Below are 27018 nucleotides of genomic sequence, written 5' to 3' on the forward strand. Positions count from 1 at the left end.
CGGTCTGTTACCCTTTTCTTTGACTAGGAAAGGGAACTCCCTGACCCCTTGCGCTTCCCACTGACCTGCGCCCACTGTCTGGCACTCCCTAGTGAGATGAACCCGGTACCTCAGATGGAAATGCAGAAATCACCCGTCTTCTGTGTCGCTCACCCTGGGAGCTGTAGACCGGAGCTGTTCCTATGCAGCCATCTTGGCTGCCACCTCTGAAATGGTATTTAATTCTTATATTAAGGAGATTAACAGAACATAGGTGTATACCCATAACTAAATAAGATTAATAATCATTAACAAATAGAGTTCTACAAAAACATAAAGTTCTACAGAAAGTGGCATAATTATATTTTAAAAATAAGCAGGAGAAATTTGTTTTAGCTGAGCATATTTATAAGGTACAGGAATTAGCTAATCTATGATAACAAGTCTCAATGCTAATGTTAATGGACATAGACTGGAAACCATTTAAATCATTCCTGTTACTCTACATTCCTGGGTAATTTTGGAAGTAGTCTAGCTGCCAAAAATATGAAAGTATAAATACATACATCTTAGGGCACATCTAATGCATAGTATATACTGTAAAGCACAACAAACACAAGAATTTCAAATAAAAGTGTTTTGAATGCAATAGAGTTATAGCTGAATGAGGTGTGGAAGTAGACTGCAAACTATAAGTTCCTCTTTTGAAAATCTAAAATCATGATTTTTAAAATTTGGAATAATCTTTAGAACTAAAGAGTTCTAATATTTCTAACAATTTGTAGAAATAAAGTACTGTTAGAAAGGAGTAACACATGGAAATAAATCTCAAATAACTTATTTTTTATTTTATGTATAATTTTGTAGCTCTCTGGCTAGTTTCTATACAAGTTTTAACTGTCAGATAAATCACAAAATATTCTTTTTCTTATATATGGAATGTTTTAGGACACTTTTTTTATTTTTTCTAAAATAAACTCATAAACTCAGGTTATTTATTCAATCACTCTGTTGTACTTGTTCCAGAAAATTATTCAAGTTTTATTTCTTTACTTTTATGTTTCCAAAATATATTCATACAGACTTTTATAGATCTAATAATTAATTATCATGTGCACTGGTGTGTATTGAAACATATGAAATTGTCTAAAAATGCAAATGAGGTATAAATTTTTGTGTAGAAGAGTAAAAGTAAAAAAGTAAAAGTATAGTACCACGTAAAAGTCCCCAGCACCTGATTATTTTATTTAATATAAAATTATATAGGGAGGCTATCTACACTAATTTTTTTAAAGAAGATTTTACTTTGGAAAATATATAACATAAAATTTGACATTTTAACCATTTTAACTGTACAAGCCAATAGTGTAAACTACACTTACAATGCTGTGCAATCATCACCCTCTATTTTAAATATTTCTTAAAAAGCACTTAAAGATTTTTTATGACCTAAATACAAACTCTATACCCATGTAGCAAATAATACTCATTCCTCCTCTCTCCCTATCTTTAATAGACTCTGATCTACCTTTTTTCTATGATATGCCAATTCTAGATATGTCATGTAAGTGGAATCATACAATATTTGCCCTCTGATGTCTAATTTATTCCACTTATTGTAATGTCTCCAAGGCTCACCCATGTTGAAGTATGCCTCAGATCTTCACCTCCTCTTATGGTATAATGATATTTTATATATCACATTTTGTTTATCCATCATCTTTTGATGAAACTTTCGTTATTTCTACCTTTGGCCACTGCAAATAATGCTGCAATGCCGCATTGAACATCAGTGTACGGGTATCTGTTTGAGACTGTGTGTTTTCAGTTCTTCTGGTTATATATCTAGCAGTGGAATTGCTAGGTCATATGATAGTTTTAATTTTGAGTTTTTTGTTACTTTTTTGAGGAAGTGTCAGTGTGTTTTCTACCATAGCTGCACCTTTTTAGATTTCTTCGAATAATTTGTGAGGGTGTTAGGGTTTCAATTTCTCCAACTTTTTAATTTTTTTATGGTTTTTGGTTTTGATTTGCATTTTCCTAATAATGAATGATATTGAGCATTATTTTATGTGCTTATTGATCATTTGTATATATTCTTTGCAGAAATGTCTACTCAACATTTTTGCCCGTTTTAAAATTGTGTTGACTTTTGGTAGTTGTTTATATATTCAGGATACCAGTCCTTTATCAGATATATAATTAGCAAATATTTTTTCCCATTTTGTAGATTGTCTTTTTACATTCTTAATAATATACTTTGATTAAATTTTTAAAATTTTTATGATTCTGATTGTATTTTTTGCTTTTGTTTCTTGTGCTTTTGGTGTCGTTTTAAGAACCTGTTTCCCAATTCAAGGTCACGAAGATTGGCGCCTGTGTTTTCCTCTAAGGGTTGTATAGTTTCAGTGCACAAGACAATGGTGATTATTTTTAGGTAATTGATTTGTTTAGAGTAAATTTTTGTAGATAGTGTGAGGTAGAGTTCGAACTTTGTTTTTTTGGATGTGAAAATCCAGTTGTCTCAGCTTCATCTGTTGAAGATGCTGTTATTTTCTCATTTAATTTGGCAGTCTCATCAAAAATCAATTGGTCAAAGATGTTTGGGTTTATTTGTTGGATCTCTATTGTATCCCATTGGTCTATTTGTCTATATTACAGTGTTTTGATTACCGTAGCTTTGTAAGTCTTGAAATCTGGAATTGTGAGTCCACTAACTTTGTTCTTTTTCAAGATTGTTTTGTCTAGTGAAAGCCCCTGGCAATTTCATATTCATTTGAAGTTTAGATTTTTCATTTTGGCAATAAATCTGTTGGAATTTTTACAGAGATTGTATTGAACCTGTACATTGCTTTGGGTGGTATTAACATGGCAACAATATTAAAACCTCCAATCTGTGAATGTTGGATGTCTTTCCATTTATTTGTGTCATTTTAATTTTTTTCAACAAGGTTTTGTTGCTGTTTAGAAACACAGTTGGTTCTATATGTGATCTTGTACCCTTTAACATGGCTGAATGTGTTGATTAGCTCTAGTAGCTTTTTTGTCGATTCTTTGGGAACTTCTCTATGTAGGATCATGTTATCTGTGAATAGAGACACTTCGCTTCTTCCTTTCCAATTTGGATGCCTTTTATTTCCTTTTCTTTTCTAATTTCTCTGGCTAGAATTCCAGTAGAACGTTTAAGAGCAGTGGTGAAAATTGACATCCTTGTCTTGTTATCGATATTAAACGTTTTCATATTTCATGATGAGTATGATGTAAGCTGTAGATTTTTCATAAATAAGCTTTGTCATGTTAAGGAAGTTCCCTTTCGTTGTTGTTTTCTAGCGTTTTTATCAGAAAGGAGTGTTGGATTTTATCAAATGCCTATTGGTTTTGATTTATCATATGTGCTTTGTCCTCCTTTACTATATTGTGTTGTATTGTATTCATTGATTTTCGATCTGTAATTACCATAGCATTCTTGGGATGAATCTTACTTGGCCATTGTTATTATCCTTTCACTATACTGTTGCACTTCTTTTGCTAGTGTTCTTTTGTAGATTAGTATATATATAGCTTTTTCATTTATATATATAATATATAATATACATACATATATAATGACTATTGGTGCAGTTTTATTTATATATATAATATATATAATAAATGTTTATGTATATGTATAAAATAGGTATTGGTGCAGTTTTATTTTCATGTGATATCTTCATCTAGCTTTGGTATCAGGACTATTTTGGCCCCATAGAATGGGTTAAGGACTGTGTCCTCTCTTCTGTTCATTTTCTTAAAGAGTCTGAGAAGAACTGATAACAATTCTCTTTAAGAGTTTGGTAGAACTCCCCAGTGAAGCCATCTGGTCCTAGCATGTCTTTTTTCAAAGGTTTTGGATTGTAATTCAATGTATTTGTTGTTATAGTCCTGCTGAGATTTTCTATTTTCTCTTGAGTCGGTTAGGTAATTTTTGTGTTTCTAAGAATTGCTGAATTTCATCTAGGCTATCTAATTTACTAGTGATTTGTAATATTTTCTTATAATTCTTTTTGATTCTTTAAGGTCAGTTCTATCTATTATTGATTGTGGTGTGCTGAAGTCTCCAACCATTACTGTAGAATTGTCTGTTTGTACCTTTGATTATGTCAATGTTTGCTCATTTTGCTCATATTTGTTGTTGTATATGAGTTTACAATTGTTATATTTCTTGATGAAGTGACCCTTTTATATATTTATGTTTTTGGACACAATATTTGTGTCAGCATATTATTGGGTGATTTTTCTTACCAATTCTACCAATCACTGGATTTTTTTATTTGTTTGATTTTTTTACTCTTGAAAAAATTCCACACAATATTGTTTATATTTGGCATTTTTCCACATGGTCATATTCTCTTTGGTGAAAACTAGAAGGACTTGGTCTTCCATTCCCTGGTCAATCATAAGATGTCTTGGGATAGACATAAGATGTCTTAGGATAAATGATAAGATGTCTTAGGATAAATGATAAGATGTCTTAGGATAAGATGTCTTGGGATAAATCATAAGATGTCTCAGTACATTGATGTCAATAAGCAACCTCAGAAAACATGAAAGAGGAAAAAAAAATAAACAATGACATATCCAGGACCTCTGCTTTCAAGAGTCCTTGAATACCAATAGAGTTTATGTAATCACCAAATTATGAAAAAATACTTTTTAATTAGGACTTTTTAGTAAGTTATATCTTCTATCATTGCAGCTATCAGTAAGCAGGACAGAGAAACATTAATAGTGTTGAGATTCAAAACTCAAATTTTACATTTATGTTCAAATATAAAATGTTAACTAGGTATTTTACATTCTGTTTTCATGATGTCTTCAATCTCTGTTTTTCTGATTGGGGAATTTAATTAATTTAATTTACATTTGAAATAATTACTGATAAGGAAATATTTACTTCTCTCATTTTGCTATGTGTTTTCTTGTATGTCTTATACCTTGTTTGTCCCTTATTTCCTTCATTATTGCCTTCTTTTGTATTTAGTTAATTTTTGATGATGAATCATTTTTACTCTCTTTTCATTTCTTCCATGTATATTATATGAATATTTTCTTTGTGTTTATGATGGGAGTTATATTTATCATACTAAATGCATAACAACATAATTTGAATTGACTCTGATTAAACTTCTATAGCATACAAAATTTCTACTCCTAAACAGTATAAGCCTTCATTCTATGTTATTATCAAAAGCTACAGCTTCATACCTTGTGCATCCAATAACATAAGTTTATAAATATTTGTATGCATTTCTGTTTTACACTTTTTAAATTATACTTTAAGTTCTAGGGTACATAGAATACTGTGTTTTACACATTTTTTAAGAAATACAAATTAGAATGACAAACCAAAAATAAAGTAATGTTAGTTTTTTATAGTTCTGTGTATTTATCTTTACTAAGACCTTTACTTACATGATTTTGAAATACTGTAAAGTGTCCTTTCATTTCAATTGGAGGGATTCTCTTTAGCTTTTCCTCTAGGCCAGATCTGATGGTAAAACAGTCTTCCATCCTCTTTTTTTTTTTTTATCTGAGAATTTCTGAATACCTCTCTTAGTTTTAAGTACAATTTTGCTGGATATAGAATTTTTGGTTGACTTTTTAAAATCAAGTAAGATTCTTTTATGATAAAAGAATTTCAACATTTTTTGCTATTCCCTTGCCTTCTTACCATCATACTTTCTGATTACATTTGGGCTATGAATCTTATTGTAGATCCCTTGTTAGTGACAAGTTTCTTCTCTCGTTGCTTTCAAGATCCTCTCTTTGCCTTTGGTTTTCAGTGTGTGAAATGTGTCTAAATGTGGGTATAATTGAATTTTTCCACCTTGAAGTTTGTTGAGCTTTTTAGACTTTTAGATTCATGTATTTCATTAAAATTGGTAAGTTTGAGAAGTTGAATATTCTTTAAATATTATTTCAACCCCCTTTTCTCTGTCTTCTCTGGGACTTAGATAATGCATGTGTTAATCCACTTGATGGTTTTCTAGAGGGCTTTTATGTTCTGTTCACTTTTCCTCTTTATTTTTTTCTTTTTTAAACCTAGTAACTTAATCTGTCTTATGTTTAAGTCCATGCTGTTTTTCCTCTGCCTGATCAAATCTGTTGTTGAACACCTCTGGTGATTTTTTATTTCAGTTGCTATAATTTTACTTCAATAACTTCTGTTGTATTCTCTGTTATAATTTCTGTTTTTACTGATACCATAATTTTTTCATATATCCTTTTTTGTTTATGTTTTTTGTAGTTCTCTATGTTTTCCCTTAGCTTTTTAAACATATTTAAACAGTTTTTTAAAAATACTTTTCCAGTATGTGTGATGCCTGGCTTCCTCTGATACGGTTTATTTCAATTTACTTTTTTTCCTTTTTACTCATTCTTATTACTTTATACATCTTGTTGATTTTTGTTGAAAATTGGACATTTACATATTATAATATAGTGAATCTGGAAATCAAACTTTATTCCTTCCCTAAAGTTTGCTATATTTTCAATTGTTGAAGTCTGTGCTAGTCTATTTGTTTAGTTACTTTTGCAAGCTATTCTTGCCAAAACTTTTTTCTTGTTTTTTTGTGACCATTAAAATATCTGTTCATTCAGCTAATGTCTGACTAATGTTTTAACAGATATTTCCTTGAACTCTAGGAGCTAAAATAAAGATAAAACAAAGCAAAAATACAAAACATAGCAAATAAAATATTAGAAAATAATTACAAAAGAAAAAAGCTTTAGTATTTGGAGATTGTCTCCGTGCTGTGGCATTTTCATCATTTAGCCAGACTTGAACTGAGCCTAGGCATCAGCTCAGGGTGGAAACACAGAGTTTTCTCTGTTCCTTTATTAACATGTGTCTTGCCTTGATCATGTGCTTGGCTTTATAAATTCCCCTGTATATACAAGTGCTTTTGAATATCCTGATTTTCCAAAGAATTTCTTCCTAGATCTTAAGCAGTCTACTTTATGTCACAACTGTAATCTTTTACCTCAAGCATCTGTTTGTTTGCCTTGCTGCATTTTTGAGCAATACCTGATTCTTTAGCCTGAGATCCAAAACAGAGATGACTGCTTTTCACGATTTCTCCAGGTAGTCCCCAGACACAATAGAACAGACATACGCAATAATTTGTGAATAAGGTCCATTTGACTTTCTTCAGAATGAAGGACCAGGATTCTGAACTGGGTACACAGGGTGCTACTGCTTTAAGACTTGTGAAAGATGGACAAGGAAAGTAAAAATGCCACAAATGCCTTTCTACCATCTTAATTTGCAGTTTTCTTAATTTAGCATCCATATGGTTGAGGTAAATCTTTGACTATTTACCAGAGTTCTGTCAAAGTTGGTTCTGACAATTTCTGTGGAATAACAAGAGCTTGGAACTGACGACTCTGCTGATATCACTCTATACGGTTTTTGTTTTCTCTTGATAAGTATCTTGGTAATGGAAAGAAGAAACATTTTGGTCGTGATGGGAACAAGGTTGTTTATAGAATTTTAGAATGTTTTCATCTTAAAATGTTTTCAATATCACAAATCTGATTGTCATAATTGTTAAATGAATGAATTTACTTTGAGTTCACTAGCCTTATTTGTTAGGCGTAAATTTGTCATATGTGTTTCACTTACTTCTTGCCCAAACTATCAATGGCTCCTCTTTTATTTTTTAATGACCCTGATTTTTTAATTCCTCTTTTCATATTTAAAATTCAGTTCCAGGACCTAGCAACTATCACTTACCTGTGTGTCCTTAACTAACCCATATACCAGGCTTTCTATAATTAGTATATTACTAACTTCTGGAACCTTACTCCAACAAAGCAGAATTCCAAAATGCCACCTAATCTAATTATCAGTAAATACATTTTTCTCTATCTAGGTTAATAACCATTGTTTATTTGCTCCTATGATGACAGTGCCTCTTTGATGACTAAAAATTAAAAATGATCACAAAATGTTTAAACTTCAATCCTTTGCAAAAGAATGCATTATCTATATGCATAAATTATTCACAAACTTTAGTAAAATAGTTTATGTGTGAATTCATGTACAAGTCAACAATAAATACTCTATGTTGTGGCAGCGTACATGCAGGTCAATTGGGACTCACTAAGTATCTATGGATACGTTACTTTAAACTGTTTTTGTTGTTGTTGTTTTTGTTGTTGTTTATTTTTTATTTTTATTTTATTATTATTATACTTTAAGTTTTAGGGTACATGTGCACAATGTGCAGGTTTGTTACATATGTATACATGTGTCATGTTGGTGTACTGCACCCATTAACTCGTCATTTAGCATTAGGTGTATCTCCTAATGCAATCCCTCCCCCCTACTCCCTCCCCACAACAGTCCCCGGAGTGTGATGTTCCCCTTCCTATGTCCATGTGTTCTCATTGTTGTTTATTTTTAAGGAAAAGGAGCATTGTCTGTGTCTATTATGACATAAAATAGCATTTCATAAGTCTTAGGGCATTTAAGACATGCAAAGTTCTAGAAAAATGAAAGCAATAGAGTGGATCAAAATTATTTTTCCAGATCAAGTTAATAAGTTTGGTGCATTAAAAGTCTTAAGTTATTACATTTAACAATTTAGACATAAAACATTTAACTAAATACATTTAGAAACATTTTTTGAATGAATTTTTGAGTGGAGTGGCTTACAAAATGTCCTCAAGAATCTCCAATTCCTAAAAGCTGCTTATTGTATTTTAAATGGAATATTACAAAATTTATGACTTTTTTTATCAAACGTTTTCAATTCTGTTAACTATTTTTTCAGCATTTAGTATGGCCTGGGTATGATACTCTTTATTGTGAATACAGAGATAACAGACTAAAGACCTCCCATATGTTAGTATCTATATGGTATTTAAATGTGTGGACCCATATATTTACATAAGAATTAATATTGTTATGTCATTTAGGATCACAACTCTTTGGAAACAGTACAAATCAACCCAATGACCACTGAACAAGAAAGATGAAAAAACGTTTATACAATGGTGCTACTTAAAATGAGTAAGGTTTAATAAAATCCTCAAATCATAATTCTAATTATGGAAACACAAGATTCTACATTTTCATTTTGAATCCACTCTTAGTATTTTACCACATCAACTCAAACTACTTTTCCTGAGCTCTATACTCCATGTACCCTTGTGTTATTTAAAGACATATGTATCTTAAGTTCCTTTGATATTAGGCATTATTTCTTATTAAATTTTGGATCTCCTACAGTGCTTAGTTTGTTGTTGCAAATACGAAAGACAGATTATATATATTTGCTATATAAATATATTGTAACTGTAGCTGTATACAGAATGAACCAAGGAATGGCAAATTTGGAGTCAGCTATAAGAATGTGCAAGTCTTTCTATGATTACATTAGGGTAATAGCTAACAAAGAAAAGCTGAAATAAGATACAGAAAGTATCAATAGAACCTGCATTTTCATATTTAATAAACTCATATTTATGTAACACTTATTTGTTAGAATTCTGTGCTTCTTAGTCTTTTAGGTGATCTAGAGGAGAGAGTAAGTGACTTTTGAATATCTAACATGAGTTCATATCAAGTCAATGTCATGCACCTCATAGAAAATTTGGTTCCTAGACTAAAAGAGCATATTTTTATGGGAATAAATAAATATGGTAACAGGAAACTTTAATATAAGACATAACATATGCACAATAGTAAGCTTAATGGATACACTGTGAGAAATAAAGAGAAATACGTGATTATAAATTATTACATGTTTCTGAGTTTGGTGTCTCAGAATATAGTGATTAATACCAAGACTAATGGAAAAAGTGAGTAGTATAAAGCGTTATTTCCATTTAACCATGCATAATTTTAAGTTTTATAATGATAGCAATAGAAAATTAGAGCTTTGAGACTGGGGAAATGTATGTAGCTCTGAATATAAATTAAACTAAATTTAAACCTTTATTCTTGGGTGCTTAACCACTGTTTTCTTGCTCTTCTATGGGAAACAAACTTAATTTCTATCCTGAATGTACTGAAGAGTAATCACACACAGTCTTATCTAGTATCTTCTCTATAATTAATTTATTCAAACACTTTTATAGATTATGCTTTCAAAATTGCTTAACACTCTCTTCTCTATGATGACTGCCCTAACTGAGCTAAAGGGGCAAGTCAAGTGAATTAACTGATATTGCCTTAGCAATTGTGAATAGCTAAAATCAGCTGTATACATTTCTTTACTTTTTATTATTTGTGGATTTTTTTCATCGTATGCTTTTTATTTATTTCTTTTATTAGTCTTGATTTGCTTTTTACTTTCTTTAAAATCAGTAAAAAATAAATTAATGTGAAATGTAGATAAATTTAAGTTCATTTTTAGAACCTCAATAATAGTTTTTTTTTTCCAATAATTTCTTGTTGGCACCCTTATAGTGTTCTGCTGTTTTTTCTATTGACTCACTGGCAAATGCTGGAATAAATAGTACTCAAAAACTAGAATACTATTTTTGTTTATTTTTATCTTTAAAATATAATTTCCAAAGGTACAGAAAATAAAAATTGTAATAATTATTATTTAGAGGCAAATAAGTACCATTTGTATCCCTGGGCTTGTGATTCAAAAATCACTTTTCTTGTTTACGTAGTCAGTGAACACTCTAATCCTTCTTTGGGCAGATTCTGTGAAACAATGAAACTTGATCACCCTAAATTCCAGTTCTATGGTCCAATGGTTCTATTTCCTTCTCCACTCTCCTTTATTTAAGAATGAATAGTACAGTGTAGGCAAACCCTTTTATCAAGAGTGTTTTCAATGGATTTTTAATGACATCAAATGTTCTCTAAAACAACATTTCTCAAACTTTACTGGACATCAGGATTATCTCAGAAATGAGTCAGTTCGTGGCCTTTACCACTCCCTCAGCAAATTGTGTGTCAATCTTGAGTATCTCAACAGTTTACATCCTCTACCTCATCACATACATGATTCTAATGTAGGTGTCCAGAGAATAAAGTTCTGGGAAAGACTGGCCTGCTAAGGTGTCAAAATATCTGGAAAGTTGGAAATTCAGTTAAAAGAATTTGGTCTTCATCATGAGTGATTTTTAAATTATCTTTCTTATTTGGATTGACTAATGGTATATAAACGCAGGGAAGAAATAAATATTTCATGAAAATTGATTATTTGTTTCTGACAAAGTCAGCTAAAAGTTTCTTCACTATATTACCTAAGAAGTTAAATATTTCCCTTAAAAATGTTTTCATTATTTAAAATGAAATGTTTATTTTCAAATAAATGAGAAATTATTTTTATTAAATTTCACTGTTCTTAGTGATACCATTTCATCTTATATTAATTTACAGTTTGGAGGCCTTTTCTACACTACAAAATTTTTCTTCTGAAAAGACACTGTTAAACTTTGCAATGAATGCATTTATTTTCTTATCATTTTTACTTACATTATCACTCATGCTAAATTGATGTAACTTGTCAGAATAAGTAGTTGCTCTGTTTAATTATATAATTTTAATATTCGTGTAAATTAAACTCTAATGACAAAAATTAATTTTATCTATAAAGATATTTATTATAGTGCCTCTAACACTATTTTGAATGTTAGCTTACAAGAGGGACACATGGAAGTAGCAATAAAGTTTTCTAAATGAAAAAATAACAAGTAAGTCACTATAATTGTGTTTCTTACCATTTCAAATTTCCTGAGATCTCAGTGTGGCCAGAATTGTGATTAATATAAGACTTGATGCAAAGAAAAAGAGCAAATCTTCATTAGAAATTCAGGAATCGTTTAATTATAATTGTTTTCTTTAGTTCATTGAAATGGTCAAATTATTCTAATATTTTTCTTTTGAATCAATAAAGATACATAATGTCTTTATAGCAATACTAATTTTATTATGTAACATTTTAGTGCTCTATATTTTTGTAAAATATACATCCACAAGTTGCATTCCAGAAGCAACTAGATGCTTGATCAATCAACATTTTAATGCATCTAGTGTATTAAATTTGTGTATTTAATTCACAACAATGGTAATCTTTCCAGGGCAGTTTCTTTCTAGGGATCCTTTGAAGTTAGCAGCAAGATGAAATATTAGATAATTAATCAATATCCAATTACTTAATGTACGTAAATATGACAGACTTCTTATCTTTGCCCAGAGTACTAGGATTTAAATTCTGATAAATATCTATTTTGTGCCATCACTAGTATTTTTGTTGTCTTTCATCTTTTCCACTCTTATTCTATTTCTTTACATGGTGCGGTCTTCATGTAATATTCTACAGTTTTACTTTTTGCCACCCTTAATGCCTATAAAATCATTTTTAAATTATACTATTTACTCTATTCTTGAATTATGTTTATATATTCAGCTACATTTTCAAATTTTAATCTCAAGATATTTAACCTTAATCTAATTACATATTACTTAATTCTCTGTTTCTTAGTTGTCTATATGATTCTCTTTTGGTGTTGACTCTTTTGTAACTCTGTTAGTGTTTTGGTCCTCATAATTAATTGTTTTACTATTGTTAATACTTATTCTAATTTAACAATAATCCAAAAAATAAGCATAGTAGATAGATGAAGTATATGAAATATAGTACATTAAATAATAACAGTTACAACAATATTTAAAGGTCATCTACAAAAAATAAATGAAAATCAAATTTTGGCTGTCAAAATTAAACAAATTGAACTATAATAAAGGCCTTAGGCAGAGAGGACTGGCAGGAAATTGGAGCTAGGGAGTTAAGTATATAAATTCTGGGACCAGAGAGGTAGATGTGGGAAGAGATGCTATCTTAAATAAGATTTCGAAGACTGAAGCTATAGAAAAGATTTACCAATTTAAAGTTGAATCTAAGGGCAAGTAGAGAGTAGAAAACTTGTCAGAATTTCGTAAATGGAAAAATTGGTGAATAAGAAAAAGAACAAGATAAGATAATGAGATGCATTTTTAGATCTAAGTCAGCTTTCAGTAAATGACACATGACACTAATGTTTTGATAAGAGATGGTCAATTTTTAATAGTCAGGAGACTAAGCACAGTATGAAAGAGAGTAAAGAATGGTGATTAATTTCCAAAGGGCGATAGCATAATGGTACAGGATTCTTTGAGGTGGAAGCAATAAAAGGAGGGCATTATAAAGTTAAAATAGAGATGAATTTCACATGCATCTCTGGGTCTTCAGGTGATTCTGGTGCTCAGTCAGATGGCAATGGATATTTTATATTTTTAAATTTTATTAAATCTTACATTTTCTTTTCTGCACTTGGCCAAAGTGTGGTGCCTTAGAATGAAGAAGATTAAAGTTAGGCTGAAGTTAAAATTCTGAGTTAAAAATCCTGAGTGTAATATCATTGGACTATTTCAAAGCTAATTATTTTGGCTATTGGTTAACTGACTTATTTCCACAGAGTCAAAAAAAAGGGAGTTGTTAACGTTGTCGAGAATATAATTCAGGACTTCTGACTCTCCAGTGTAACCACTACACCATATTTTGATGACCTTTGCCTGACACCGCATGAAATAATTTATAAAGCTTTAAAAACTATGGTGTAGTATTTTGGGTTTCAATCTAAGACTCAAGTAAATGAGAGCAGTAGCTATTTTATGGAGCAAATACAAATTGATTTTAGTTGTAAGTGTGGTCCAATTCACTTAGCTTGAATTATTTAAGCATCACCTATAAATGTATTCAGTAGTAAATTACAGCTGAAAGCTTCATCTTCAAAAATAGAATGTTTCACTTTATAAGACTTAGAAATTCTAGATTCATTGTGAGGAGTTGACACAGCACTATCTTTCCTAGCTCAGATGGAAAGCTTTATTCAGCATTAGATAGCTGACGATGTGGGTTAGAAGACAGATTTAAATTTCTATAATTTCTAACATTATAATTCTATAATATTGTGTTTGTTTCACTTGTAAATAATGCATTTATCTAATTCCTATTATGATGTGTTGAGACTTATTCTCACTGATACTCATGGCCCTGATTAGAAATTAAGTAGACAAGTTTAATTTAGAGGCTCTCTCCTCCTTGGAAAATCCCCCAAATCCCACTAGATGGCACCTCACTAACGATCTTGCCACTGCTCTCTGGCAGATTAAACATTTCTCTATGGGAGGGAACCCAAGGTTACAATCTGTTGAAAGCACAGACAGGAGGCTGTGTTTTTCACAGAACATTACATAAGATTAAGACTATTTTAATTGTCTCAAAAAACAAAGATGGAACTAATACAGATCAAGCCATATTCTGTTGCCACTGTGATCTCCGTGAAGACTAAGCTCACTTAGGAGGTACATGATGAATGTCTTCAGTTTTCCTAAACAAATAATTATGAAGTTTGCTTTTGAGATATGAAAGTGCCCGGCAAACTCAGTAAAAGTTTTACTCAAATTTACTTGGCCTTATAAAGACTTTTTAATTACATCTAACATCACTTGTACATAGATTAGATCCCAGTGGTAGATTTAATTGAACTTAACCTTCTCATTGGTCACCAAATATTAAGCAATCAGTTCAGGCAAAGAGCTGTTATGTTAATTTAGAAGTATTAATCTGCTTATAATTAGCCCAAGACTGAAGGGATGGGGAAAGTAGACATCCATGTACAAGACCTTTTGTGGATCTCTTAGAGAATGGCTTTCAGATTGAATGAACTTCAAATTGAAGTCCAAATGCAAAATCTCACTACCATAAAAGTGTCTGAAATGGTTTAAGAATTCAAAGTTACTAACTTAAAAGTCAAGAGGAAAGAAAAAGCCTCATGGTCAATTACTTACTTTACTTTTAAATAAAGCATACATATTTTCTCATATAGAGAACTTGTGACAACTACATGGTCAAAACAGGGCATATAATTTACTAAACACATGATTAAAAACTGATATAAATGTGTGCATAACACAAAGTTGATAATAAATATTTGTTGGATAAATAAAAATATGAGGGGAATATTTCAAACATTGAAAAAATCATAACGAGATAATATTATTTGTTTGTAGATTTTTAAAATAATCACAATAGCTTTTCTCCTTAAATACTTAACTTACATTAATCAGGCATGTGCCTAAAGACCAACTGAAAAAAATCAACTACGATAATGCTCTTAATTTACTTATATGACATAATACCAGACAATTTCATTTTAAGTAACTTTACTAGGCTCTTGATTAAATTAAATAATTAATCTATCCAATGAAAATCTTCATCATTATACTTATAAATACAATTCTACACACTTGGTAATAATTTTACTTAATTATCTCTAAATACAGGTGCAAATCTAAGAAAGTACCAAACATGTACCTTAAGCCCTGGCAGCCTTTTTTCTTACAGGTAGCTTGTTATATTAATGCTATAGAATAACTCTGAAAAATATGTAAGAAATCTATAACACAGCAAACAGGTAACATCATCCAAAGATGAGCATGATATTATTAAAATAAAACAGTACTATGCTTTCTGCTACTAGTTCTACTACAACTAATAGAGGAAATTGTACCACTAATAATAAATTTATTTAAAATTTAATACTCGCTATATGGAAGGCACAATTTCTGTCACTTTAAGTTCATTAATGAATCACACTCTTATAAAAACCCTATAAGTTAGATATAAATGTTATCATATTTTAAAAAGGTGAATGAAAGTTTTAACAGCCTAAATAACTGTCCCAGGATGCCCAGCTCACAAGTCTCAGAAGCACAATTCAAACTCCAAATCTTTCACTATACCCTGTCACTCTCAATCCATATCCCCTGTTACTAAAATTAATATACTATCTCCAAGACAAAATAGTATTAGAACAATGACACTACGCTATTTGACTAGTAAATGTAATGTGTGAAGAATCTAATTTTTAAAAAACAATTTGTCACAATAAGCAGTCATTTTATTTCAAAATTAGTTTTAATATAACTTCATGTAGTTATGAAAAATGCATTGGGGACTTACTAGGTGTTTTTTATGTAGACTTCTATTTAATTTACCAACATTGGAGTTAGGTTTGATTATTGTTATTTTATAGATGACAAAACGGGAGCTCAGCTCAATTAAGAAAGAGCCCAGGTCACTCTGTGAGCATTAATGTCATAAACAAAACTTGGGTGTTTGAGTCCCAAACACACACAAATCATCATATATATGTATATAGACACGTATGTCTGGGTGGGTGAGTATACATGTATATACATATACCAGAAGTGGCTAGTGATAGGCATTAGGAGCAATTAGGAGCAGTTCAAATCACTGTCCACAACCTGTACCTGTTTAACCTGTTTGGCCTTCTGGAATCAAGTGTGTCTGCGCTATAAGCAATGGCACTTCAGGGAACAATTGGAGATCCCAAGGAGGTGATGTACAGGTGCGGCTAATTTATGGGATGCTCTTTTCTATTCTCTCATTTTTCAGCAAGATGTCCCTGTTACACATAAGGGAAGGCTTCCTGACCTTCCAAACTTGCTGTTACAAATTCTATTATGAACAAGACACTTACTGAAATCAAGATTGTCATGAACAGTGACTTCTGAGTTGAACATCTGACATGTGCTGCCCATCTACAGTGTGCTGAAGGTGCAGCTGGTGGGGAAAAAGCCCAGTGCCCTTTAAGCCAAACTGGGCTAAGTGACCCTTTTCATTCTTGATTGCAGTCTGCATTCCTGTATCTGCTCTGTGCCCTTTGCTCTGCTTGGCCTGGCTGAAGGAAGCACCTCTACTCCACCACCATCTGGGCCTTTCCTAAACCTTGTCACCTGAGAGCCATTCTCAACCTGCAGAACTTCCAGGACAACACTTTAACTTGATTACTTCCCCAACCTATGCCCTCCAGCCACCAGAAAGAAGCCTTCAGGAGTCCCTACAGCACCCACGCAGGCCCTCTCCAGTTTTCCCCCTCCCTTCCTGATGCTGTGAAAACCACAGAATAAATGTTTATCACTTTCAAAAATATTATATATATATATAATATAAATGAATTTTTCTTTTTACTGCACATAATATAGTACCCTGTTCACCTCTCAGATAAATAAATCATAATTATCATTTTCTGCTTTTAAATACCCTGAAAATATAAAAAGTTACATAAAATCAATTTTTTGAAACATAAGTGCCTTATAATTAATCAAACTGTATTCCTGTCTATTATATTAAGGTTTTTTTTTTCTTTTTCTGTGTGGTATAAATGCAACTATGAGAAATTCTTACAACTCTTTCTAGTCATAGAAGGATATTACTATTTTGAAAGCTTTAGTGCATATCAACAATATGACATTGAGAAATGTTGGATTAAGTTGTCTCACCACCAGCATTGCTTGGAAGTGCCTATCTCTCTAAACACTGTCACTAACATGGGGAATTATCATTAAAGAAAAGAAAGTCTCATCAACTTCTAGTCTTGAAAATATGTCATAATTATATAGGTAAATCCTTGAGTGCTACAGTTTAGTCATTTTTTACATGTTTGTTGGTTCCTATACATAGTACCATATTTTTATAAAGACATCAATTATTATCCATTAAGGACTGTTAAACATATCAGTAACTCATCCTTATATATACTGACATCTTTTCCAAGCTTCTCATTTATCAAGTTTCATATAATATTTGCAAATATTGGAGTTTTAATTTATATGTAGTTAAATACATACTTTATTTTCTGGGTGATTCTTTTCTGTTTTTTTTTTTTTTTGTAGTTGTTTTTATGCTTAGAAAGTTCTTCACTATTTTGATAATAAATATTAGCTAATGTTTCCTTTAAATTGTTATACTATTTGGAATTTATTTGTTGTTTTAAATTTCTACTACGTCTGAAGTATATCTTTGTTATATGATATATGCTAGAATAGATTTTTAATATTTAAAGTTTTTAAAATTTTTATTTGCACTAATTGTTGAATAATGCCTATATTCTTTATAGATTTTCTTTATCATCCTTTAGAAAGTACATTCTGTATACACACGGGCATACAAACACACACAGTGTTCCAACACAATCTATCATATCAACTTGACTGATACTACATCAATTTTTCTATTAATAAGCCACATTATTTAACTATACAATATATGTACTAAAGTACATTCTTGTAGAACTCTTGTTTTCCACTTGTATTTGTTAAAATTATCTCATATTGTTCTTCATGAACTAATAAAAGATTTGAGGGAGAAAGAGGATCTATACATTTAAATCTTACTATCCAAGAATATGATGTGATTTGTTCAAGTCTTCTCTTTTGTCTCTGAGTTAAGATTTATAATTTTTGTCTTATAAATCTGTGTATTTCTTATTAAATTTAAGGGAAACTCTTAAAAATGAAAAGGGTATAATTTTTGCTATTTTTTTCCTGTGTTCTCTCTAACTTAATGATCACTCAACTTGAATTGCAAGGTAATTTCTACAAGGGTCTCTCTCAGTTGCAGAGCAGTGAATGGTGGTTAAGGTCCTGTCTCTGGAGCCCAACATGTCTGAATTTGCAAACCCATCTTACCACTTATCTGTGTGCCCTTAGCAAGATAGTTAAGCTTTCTTTACCTCTGTTTCCTCATTTATCAAATAGAGTTATTAACAAAAAAAAATTCTGAGGTGTCTTGAGAAATAGAAGTAAGTTAATAACAATAGAAGTGCCAAACCATTATTAAGTGCTCAATTATAATCCCTAATCTTTTTAAGTGCTCAAATATAGGATGTTAACTATTATTAATAGCATTATATCGTACTACTAAAATAAAGTGAGAATATTCAATTAATTGGAAAGTCAATATACTGAAGAAATGGAGCAGTGATACAACCAATGTGTTTGGGTTTAGTCAAATTAATTAACTGAATTATGTAGCCATCAGAGACCGTGAGACATCCAGAATTTTAATATTCCTGTCAAAACAAGTCAAAGTATCATTTGATTCTGGTGAAACGATCTATGACAGCCAAAGGAGCATAATCTATAATAACAATTATTTTAGCAAAGTTAAAAAGTTTATTCATTATGATTATAATGATTTTTGCATTACTCATATATATTTCTGTTCTATAAGTTAAATGTAAATCATATGCCTTTTTAGTAATACATCAAATTAGTAGAACATATGTTTTAATGTATCTTCATAAATTTTATTTTATTAAAAAGATAGTATTTTGAGTAATGACATAAACAGCTTTAAAGTGAAATGATCTCGGATTTATTTATTACTTATAAAAGATTTTAATCAATAAATATGTATTCTTGATCCTGGAAAAAATAGAGGACTAAGAAAATCTACACGCCCTTCAGCTAAAAGACCTAGGCTTCCTTAAATATAACAATTAATATAATTATTCACACTAATAACAACAATAATTAGAAAATGTAAAGTTGGCAGAAATAAAAAAATAAAAATAAAATGTTAAACACAGGAGCCACTGTTGAGACTGCAACCTCAAACTGCTTTGGAAGAGGTGGTGGAATAAATATGAGACGATGTTCTGTAAAAACTTGGTGCTCACAGACATACAATCACAGGTTAAAAGACTTTGAGTCTGAACCAAACTCAGAGCAACAAATGAAACTGCATGAACCATAATGCTTGAAAGGCTACATCAGCATGAAAGGAAGAACCAGAAAATGCCTCCCTGTGCGTTACAGGCAAAAGAAAAAATAACCTTGTTTCTTCCTGGTTTGAGGGATAGTTTATGAGGCGTGGGGTGGAGTTTCCTGAGAAACTGAAAACTGTGTTTCAGAATCCTTGTGGGTAGAAAATTTTCAAGTGAAGAAAATATTAAAAATGGTACCAGGATGCTATTGTCATGTCAGCTTCTGGCTAAGGCAAGCACAAAATCTTGGGAAAGACAAAATGGCCTTAAAGAAAAATAAATAAATAAATAAACTCATACTTTTACACATTTAGTAAAACTACAGAACAATATTTGCAAAAAGATAACCATAAAAGGAGAAAAAAGCTCACTAAATTTTCAACAAAAGAACATTTATCAGATATATATTTAGGTATCTTAACCTCAAATGTAGGCCAAACACAATAGAATAATATCATCAAATCCATCAGTAAAAAAAGTCAACCCGATTTCTATATCCCATTCAACTATAATGTGAGAATAAGGGCAAAAACAGTTTCTTTTTTTCAGGAAAAAATATTCTGTCACTCACTCATGAAAGTGAAATCAAATCCAGTTGAGAGAAAGCTAGAAGAAACATTACACAGTGTAATTGGTAGGTATATGAGTAAATCTGAACAATCATAAACTATGAAAAATAGTAATGATGATAGTTACCAATTGAGAATATATAGATATAATAACAAGATAGGCTTGGGTTAATGAAAATTACAACATTCTATCTTAATATTATTCAGAAAGAGGCTAGTAGAGACAGCGATTAAGAAACTTCCACGTCTGAGTGCAGTGGCTCACACCTGTAATACCAGGGTTTGGGAGGTTGAGGTGAGAGGATTGCCTGAGCGTAGGCACTCGAGATTACAGTGAGCTCTAACTGTGCCACTATACTCCAGCCTGGGCAACAGAGGTAGACCCAGTCTCTAAAAACAAACAAACAAATAAAAAGAAAGAAATTTCTACTGTCTAAGTATTTGTGTAAATGTAAACCTAATTGCCAAAAATATAAGAGGAAATAATAGAAAATGAAGTGAACATGATAAATAAACTAGCAAGCTGAAAAGGAAAACAATTAATAGGTATATAAAATTCAAAGTTGAAACAAAGTTACTAGAAATTATCAATGTATGTATATATGTATGTATAATAGTACATGCTTTTAATAATATATAATTATAATATATATCACTGCATATTATTTACTATATATGCTTAGAAATAAAGAATGGAGAGGAGAATTAAAATATTGACTATAAAGTTATATATACACACATATTTGCATGTAAATATATTTACATACTAACCAGTGTATATGCATATATATGCTCAAATTGGTAATAAAAAGGAAAATTACTGATATTATTTCTGTGGTTCCACAGGAAAAAAAAGCCACTTTAAATCTTTATATCTCTAGAAACAAACTACTAAATTTATAAAGCAAACATTTTAACATTAACAAGTAGACAACAAAAGCTTCACAATCACATTGGAGATTTTAATGTGTAATTTGCACAATAGATAAATAGAATAGACAAAAATAAGCAATGATATGAAACATTGTAATTAACATATTTAGCAAATTTGACTTAAATAACATATGAAGAAACACTTTTTAAAGCCATTCATGGAATACTTAGAAATATTGACCATGTATTAAGCAACAGAAGAAATCTCAGCAGGGTCTTAGCAAATGAATCTGTAATCACATACAATTATTACAACTCAATAATGAAGATATAAGACTCAGCACCTTACTTTCTGAAATTTAAAAATTACTGCAAAATAATTCATTAAAATGAATATGACAAATTAGTCACATGAATACAAAAACACAGTATTGCTGTATCCCTAAAATTCAGTTAAAATAGCATTTAGAAGAAAACTTTTAGCATATATTTATATATTAGAAAGGAAGAAAAAATGGATATTAATGTGCACAACTTTAAATCTCATAAAGAACAAGAGAAATTGATAGAAAGCTTTGTAAGGTGACTATTATATGTAAATTTTGAATTTAATAAAGGTAAAAAGTCAAAGATATTAGTGACAAGAAAACGTTTTCTTTGTAAATGTAATTCAACCAAAAAATACTCCTCTGGTATGACTGATCAATAAGTATGAGGAACGTTACAAATTTTATATGTATATGAAATTTAAAATGTCACGAATTAATACTATAAATAAATTATATGTTCTTAAAGTAGAAATTTTAATTCAAGACAACTTTCACAAAATACAATTATCTATACTGACACAAGAAGTATAACAAAAAGAAAATAGACCTGTAATTATTTTCACACATGAACCACACGTCAGTTTTTAGGAAAATTCTATCAAATTTTCAGGAAATGAATCATCAATATTATGCAAATTGTTTCAAATGATGGAACAAGATGGAATTAACTCACTGATTTTTATAATTTAGCAATAATCTCTCACTGTATACAAAAATCAACTCAAAATGCATTGAAGACTTAAATGTAAGATCTGAATCTATGAAACTACCAGAAGAAAACATTGGGGAAAACACTACAGGACATTGGTCTGGGCAAAGATTTTTGAGTAAGGCCTCAAAAGCATAGGCAGCACAAGCAAAAATGTACAAATGGGATTACATCAAGCTAAAAAGCTTCTACACAGCGAAGGAAATAATCAGCAAAGTGAAGAGACGGCCTACAGAATGAAGAAAATATTTGCAAACTATCCATCTGATAAAGGATTAATAAATGAAATATATCAGGAACAAAAATCTTGATAGCAAAAAATCATATAATCCAATTTAAAATGGATCAATGATCTGAATAGATATTTCTCAAAAGAACACATAAAATAGCCAACAGCTATCTGAAAAAATACTCAATATCACTAATTATTAGGAAAATGCAAGTCAAAACCACAATGAGATACCATCAGACCCCAGTTAAAATGGCCATTATTAGAAAGACAATGACTAAGAGATGCTGGTGAAGATGAGCAAAAGGGTAACACTGAGGTCTGTTATTAGGTACAAAAATACAGGTGGGATAGAAGGAATAAATTCTAGTGTCCAATAGCACAATAGGATGACTATAGTTAACAATAATTTACTGCGTATTTTAAAAATACCTAAAAGATTTAAAATGTTTTCAACACAGAGACACAATACATGTTTGAGTTGGTGGATATCCTAATTACCCTGATTTGATAATTACACATTGCACGCATGTATCAAAATATTTCCATGTACCCAATAAATATGTACAATTATTATGTATCAATATTGAAAATATTAATAACAATATCTGAGAAGACTATACCTGAAGAAAATTACAGATCAATTTCAACTGTGAATATTGACATTACAAAAACCTAAACAGATATGTTCTTTAAAGAGAAACCTCACATGCAAACACACAGATAGATACCCACTGCTGTTTCATGTAATAAACTTTGTACTAGAAGTTCCAGCCTGTGTACGAAACCAAGAAAAATAAATTAAGAGACAAAAACAGCACACTGTCGTTATTAGCGGATGTATTTTTCCACCCAGAACACTCTAAACATGCTATAGAAACATTATTTCAACTAATAATTTTAAGACATTTGCTGCTTATAAGAGCAATATATGAAAAAAAGTGAATACAGTTAAACAACAAAATAAATATAGTCAGTGTTTGGGTCCTGGTGCTATAAAAATAATAAAAAAAGATTTTGGTATTGTTTAATCTTTAAATAAGCTATGATTTGTTTAAAGACTTTACATATTTCTATTAGTGTTCATTAGCATTTTTAGTCCTGTTTATAATGTAACACTCCTTTTCTTTAAAATATTCCATGTTTCATGTCATAAAATACAAAGCTCAAATCAAACCAGAGTGTGTGTTTTTTAAGTAAATCATTAAAATTGACAACACTTCTTATTGACTTTATAGGTTATATTTACATTTGTAAGTGTTTCTTAAGATAGTGTAGTAATTACGTTCATTAAACAATATATTATTAACCCTAATCTAGAATTTATTTATTTGATTGGGCTAATCTTAGATTCTTACACTGTTCCTGTCTTTAAAATCATTTTCAAACATTGAAATCTCATACAAGTTTTAAAATTGTGCTTAAAATCATATAAACTTTATTGTCTTGAAAACTGTTAAGTAAGTACATTACGGTAGTGTTAACTATATGCATGTTGTTATTCAACACAATCTCATCAATTTTAAGAACAATTTATTGTGGAAGCAACTGGCAACCCATTAAGTCACAGGTGATTTTAAGTAAATTTCAAGTATAACTTGTCAAGTGGAATCTTAATGCTTTTGAAGATAAAATCTTATAATCTAGTTTTCTCTCTTCCATTTTAAAGAGTGATAGCTATAATGAAATCACCTTAAACTCCTCATTGAATTATGCCTCTTTGTTTCAATCACTTTTTAAAAAATCACTTCTATTTGATTTGAGGACAACATTTCCCTTCATTTTCTCAGTTACACTATTAAACTGTGAAATATATGTATAAATCATACATTATTTAACATATGTTGTAAAATGTGCAGTAGACTCAGTCCCATATAAAGAAAAACATCGCATCAGTAATTAATCAATAAAAACTAAAAAATGATTTTACCTTAGAAATAAGACTGTGATTAATCTAAGGAATAGTAAAGGTAGTGTGTTTAGGTTAGGGAGACTATTATTGTCTTACAGATGTAAATTTGCATTAATATTTACACTTTTATATCAGTTATAAAAACTAGAATTCTGTATTATATAAGAATTTTGTATCCCCAAGTCATTGTCATTTGGTGTTCATTCTTAACATTAGAACCACTCTATACACTGCAAAACAAGTTTTACTTTCAGTATTTAATTTATAAAATCCTTTCAAAACACTTCTTTTCAAGGGAATTCTAAAAAATTCTAATCCTTTTCACTAAAGGTAAATATAAACAATCGATGATATTAATGTAGTGAAAAAGTTCGATGTTTATATAGTGAAAAATTGAGGAAATTTTGATTTAAATAGATGGTTAGGAAAAAACTGATGGTATAAAATTCCTTCCAATTGTAATATTACAGTTGTGCTGATTGGGTAAATGGCAAAATAATAAGTTTTTTTATTGTTATGGCAAATAACTAAGGATATCTAGAATGTTGAGATAGAAAAATTTTCATGGCTTTATACCCCGCCCTAAAATGTTGGAAAGATATATTACTTTTTGTGTTTAAATGGTCTTATGTACTTCAAAGTGATGTTTCAAAAAATGTTACCTGCAACATTGAGTCTTTGTGTCCTCATGCCTTTGAAATTTCTTATTGAAATAAAATTGACATAAGTGAGCAAGTTACTATTTTTAAGGCAATTTTTCATCTGTAAAGCCAATGTAGAGTTGAATTACATTTAACTTCTGGAAGAAATTATGGGAATAGAATTTTCCTATATTAAATGTGACAGTGAATTATCCATTAATGTCCATTAACAATCAACTGATTAGTAAATTGTCCCTGTAATGGTGGTACTCTTGCCAACATGTCATTTAGTGTCAGCTTTGGTCAAGTGGGAAATAAATGGAAAGCATACAATTACTCTGACCTTTTCAGGATCAAAAGGCATTTTGACATACTTCAAACCATTTTAATGATAGCAGCTCTCTACTAATTGAATAAACCCTAATAAAAAGAATATAATCTATTTGGGGATTTTTTAGATGGTTAATAGATCTTTTATTATATGCTGTGTAAAAGAAGAAATTTGATATGTTATTGAAGAAGATAATATATATGTCATAGAGGAAAATGGGAAACCACTTGGAGAAAGTTTAAAAGGAAAAATAAGTGTTTAATTGACTGAATGAAAATAATAGACAAAGAAAAGTCCAGGGTCCCCTGTCTGTTTTTGCGATGTTCAGGATTTTACTTTTAGGTTTTTTTACTTAGTATTATTCTGTTGTTTATGATATTTCAATTAACTTTTTGTCTCTTAAAAGCATGTCTCTTTTTAAGGAGAGCATGTGATTGCATTCTATGTGCATGAATTAATTTTTAGAGGAAAAGGCCAAGGAAAAGATTATACCTGCTTAAAATGGAACATAATTAGCTGCAGGAAAGCAGTTTGTTTTTAAAACCAGAAAAAAACAGTGCAGCAATTGTAGGCTCTGTTGTTTATTCCTGTTTGGAACAGTAATCATTAGTAAATGATTTGGCCCCGAGATTCGATTATAAAGCTTGGTGCTGAGCAATCAGGTATGATTTACTGTGGACGGCAACAGGGGATGAGGTTTTCAACAATGTGGCAGATGGAAATTTGAAAACCATTATAGTCAGGAAAAGCAAAAATGTGGCTTCTTATAGTAATCATAACTCACCCACAGCTGCAGTCTGTGATGATGGACATTCCATGATTATTGCCTTTGCATTTTTCAAACAAATGTTTTCTTCCTATAAAATTTTTACTCACATTTGTATGTGTGAATATACACATGTATCCAAAATATATCTATGTCTATCCATACTCATGTATATAATGTAGCAAATTTAACTTTTTTCACTTTGCTAAATAATCTTGCATCTTTAATGTAATAATAAAATCAGTCATTATAGCAATTCAAAATATGAAGTTGAAAATGGCATGTATACATCATATCTTTCCCCAAGTACTCTAGTATCACTATCAGAAAAAGAAGCATACCATTGTTATTACTATGACTACTACTGCTAATAAAAATAATAATGAATGCCACGAAAAACACATATTGATCTCCAAAAAATACAGTATTAGAATATTTATCCCACTATTCATAAAAATAAAATTCAAAAAGGACTGTGAAAATGATAATGTACCTAAACATAGTGATGCTCCAATGATAATTACTAATTTTCTATTATTACAAATATTTTCTACTGTTTCATATATATAGTAAAATAAGGGATTATACAATAAACAAAAGAGATTATAAAGTAAGACTTTTATAGCAGAAATAATATACTGTATGATTGAGCTAACAATAAATTATGTAAACGTTACATTAGGAATTAGAAAATATGGTGATTGATAAATTGAGTCACATTATTTAGAAAGTTAACCATTTACTGTTTTCTTTTCACTGGTTTATTATTTTGTTCTAGCTTTTCTGAGGCTTCATTTTAAGAAAATGTACCATAAGAAATAATGACACTTATACCAACAATCGCTTCTTTTTATTTTTATTTTTTTTTTTGCTTCATAAACACGATTTATAAATGTTCTTCCTAGAAGCTCTAATGAGTAATTAGAAATTGTTATAAGAAATTGTTATTAAGATGTAAATATTAAGTCCTAAAGTTGTTCTGAGGCAACTTTATATATGTTTTTGAAATACGTACCACCTTGATTATTTCCTTTCTGTAAAGAACAATTTCAATTTT

General features: G+C 30.2%; 1 long non-coding RNA gene across 1 annotated transcript; it reads left to right on the plus strand.

The window, feature by feature from the left end:
- Positions 1-107: 107 nt before the first annotated feature.
- On the plus strand, positions 108-24958 carry LOC124903305 (uncharacterized). Its single transcript, XR_007064134.1, has 2 exons — positions 108-214; positions 16688-24958. It is a non-coding gene; the product is annotated as an uncharacterized LOC124903305 (long non-coding RNA).
- The last annotated feature ends 2060 nt before the right edge of the window (positions 24959-27018 follow it).

Source organism: Homo sapiens, chromosome 14 (genome assembly GCF_000001405.40).
Source record: "Homo sapiens chromosome 14, GRCh38.p14 Primary Assembly".
Taxonomy (NCBI): Eukaryota; Metazoa; Chordata; class Mammalia; order Primates; family Hominidae; genus Homo; species Homo sapiens.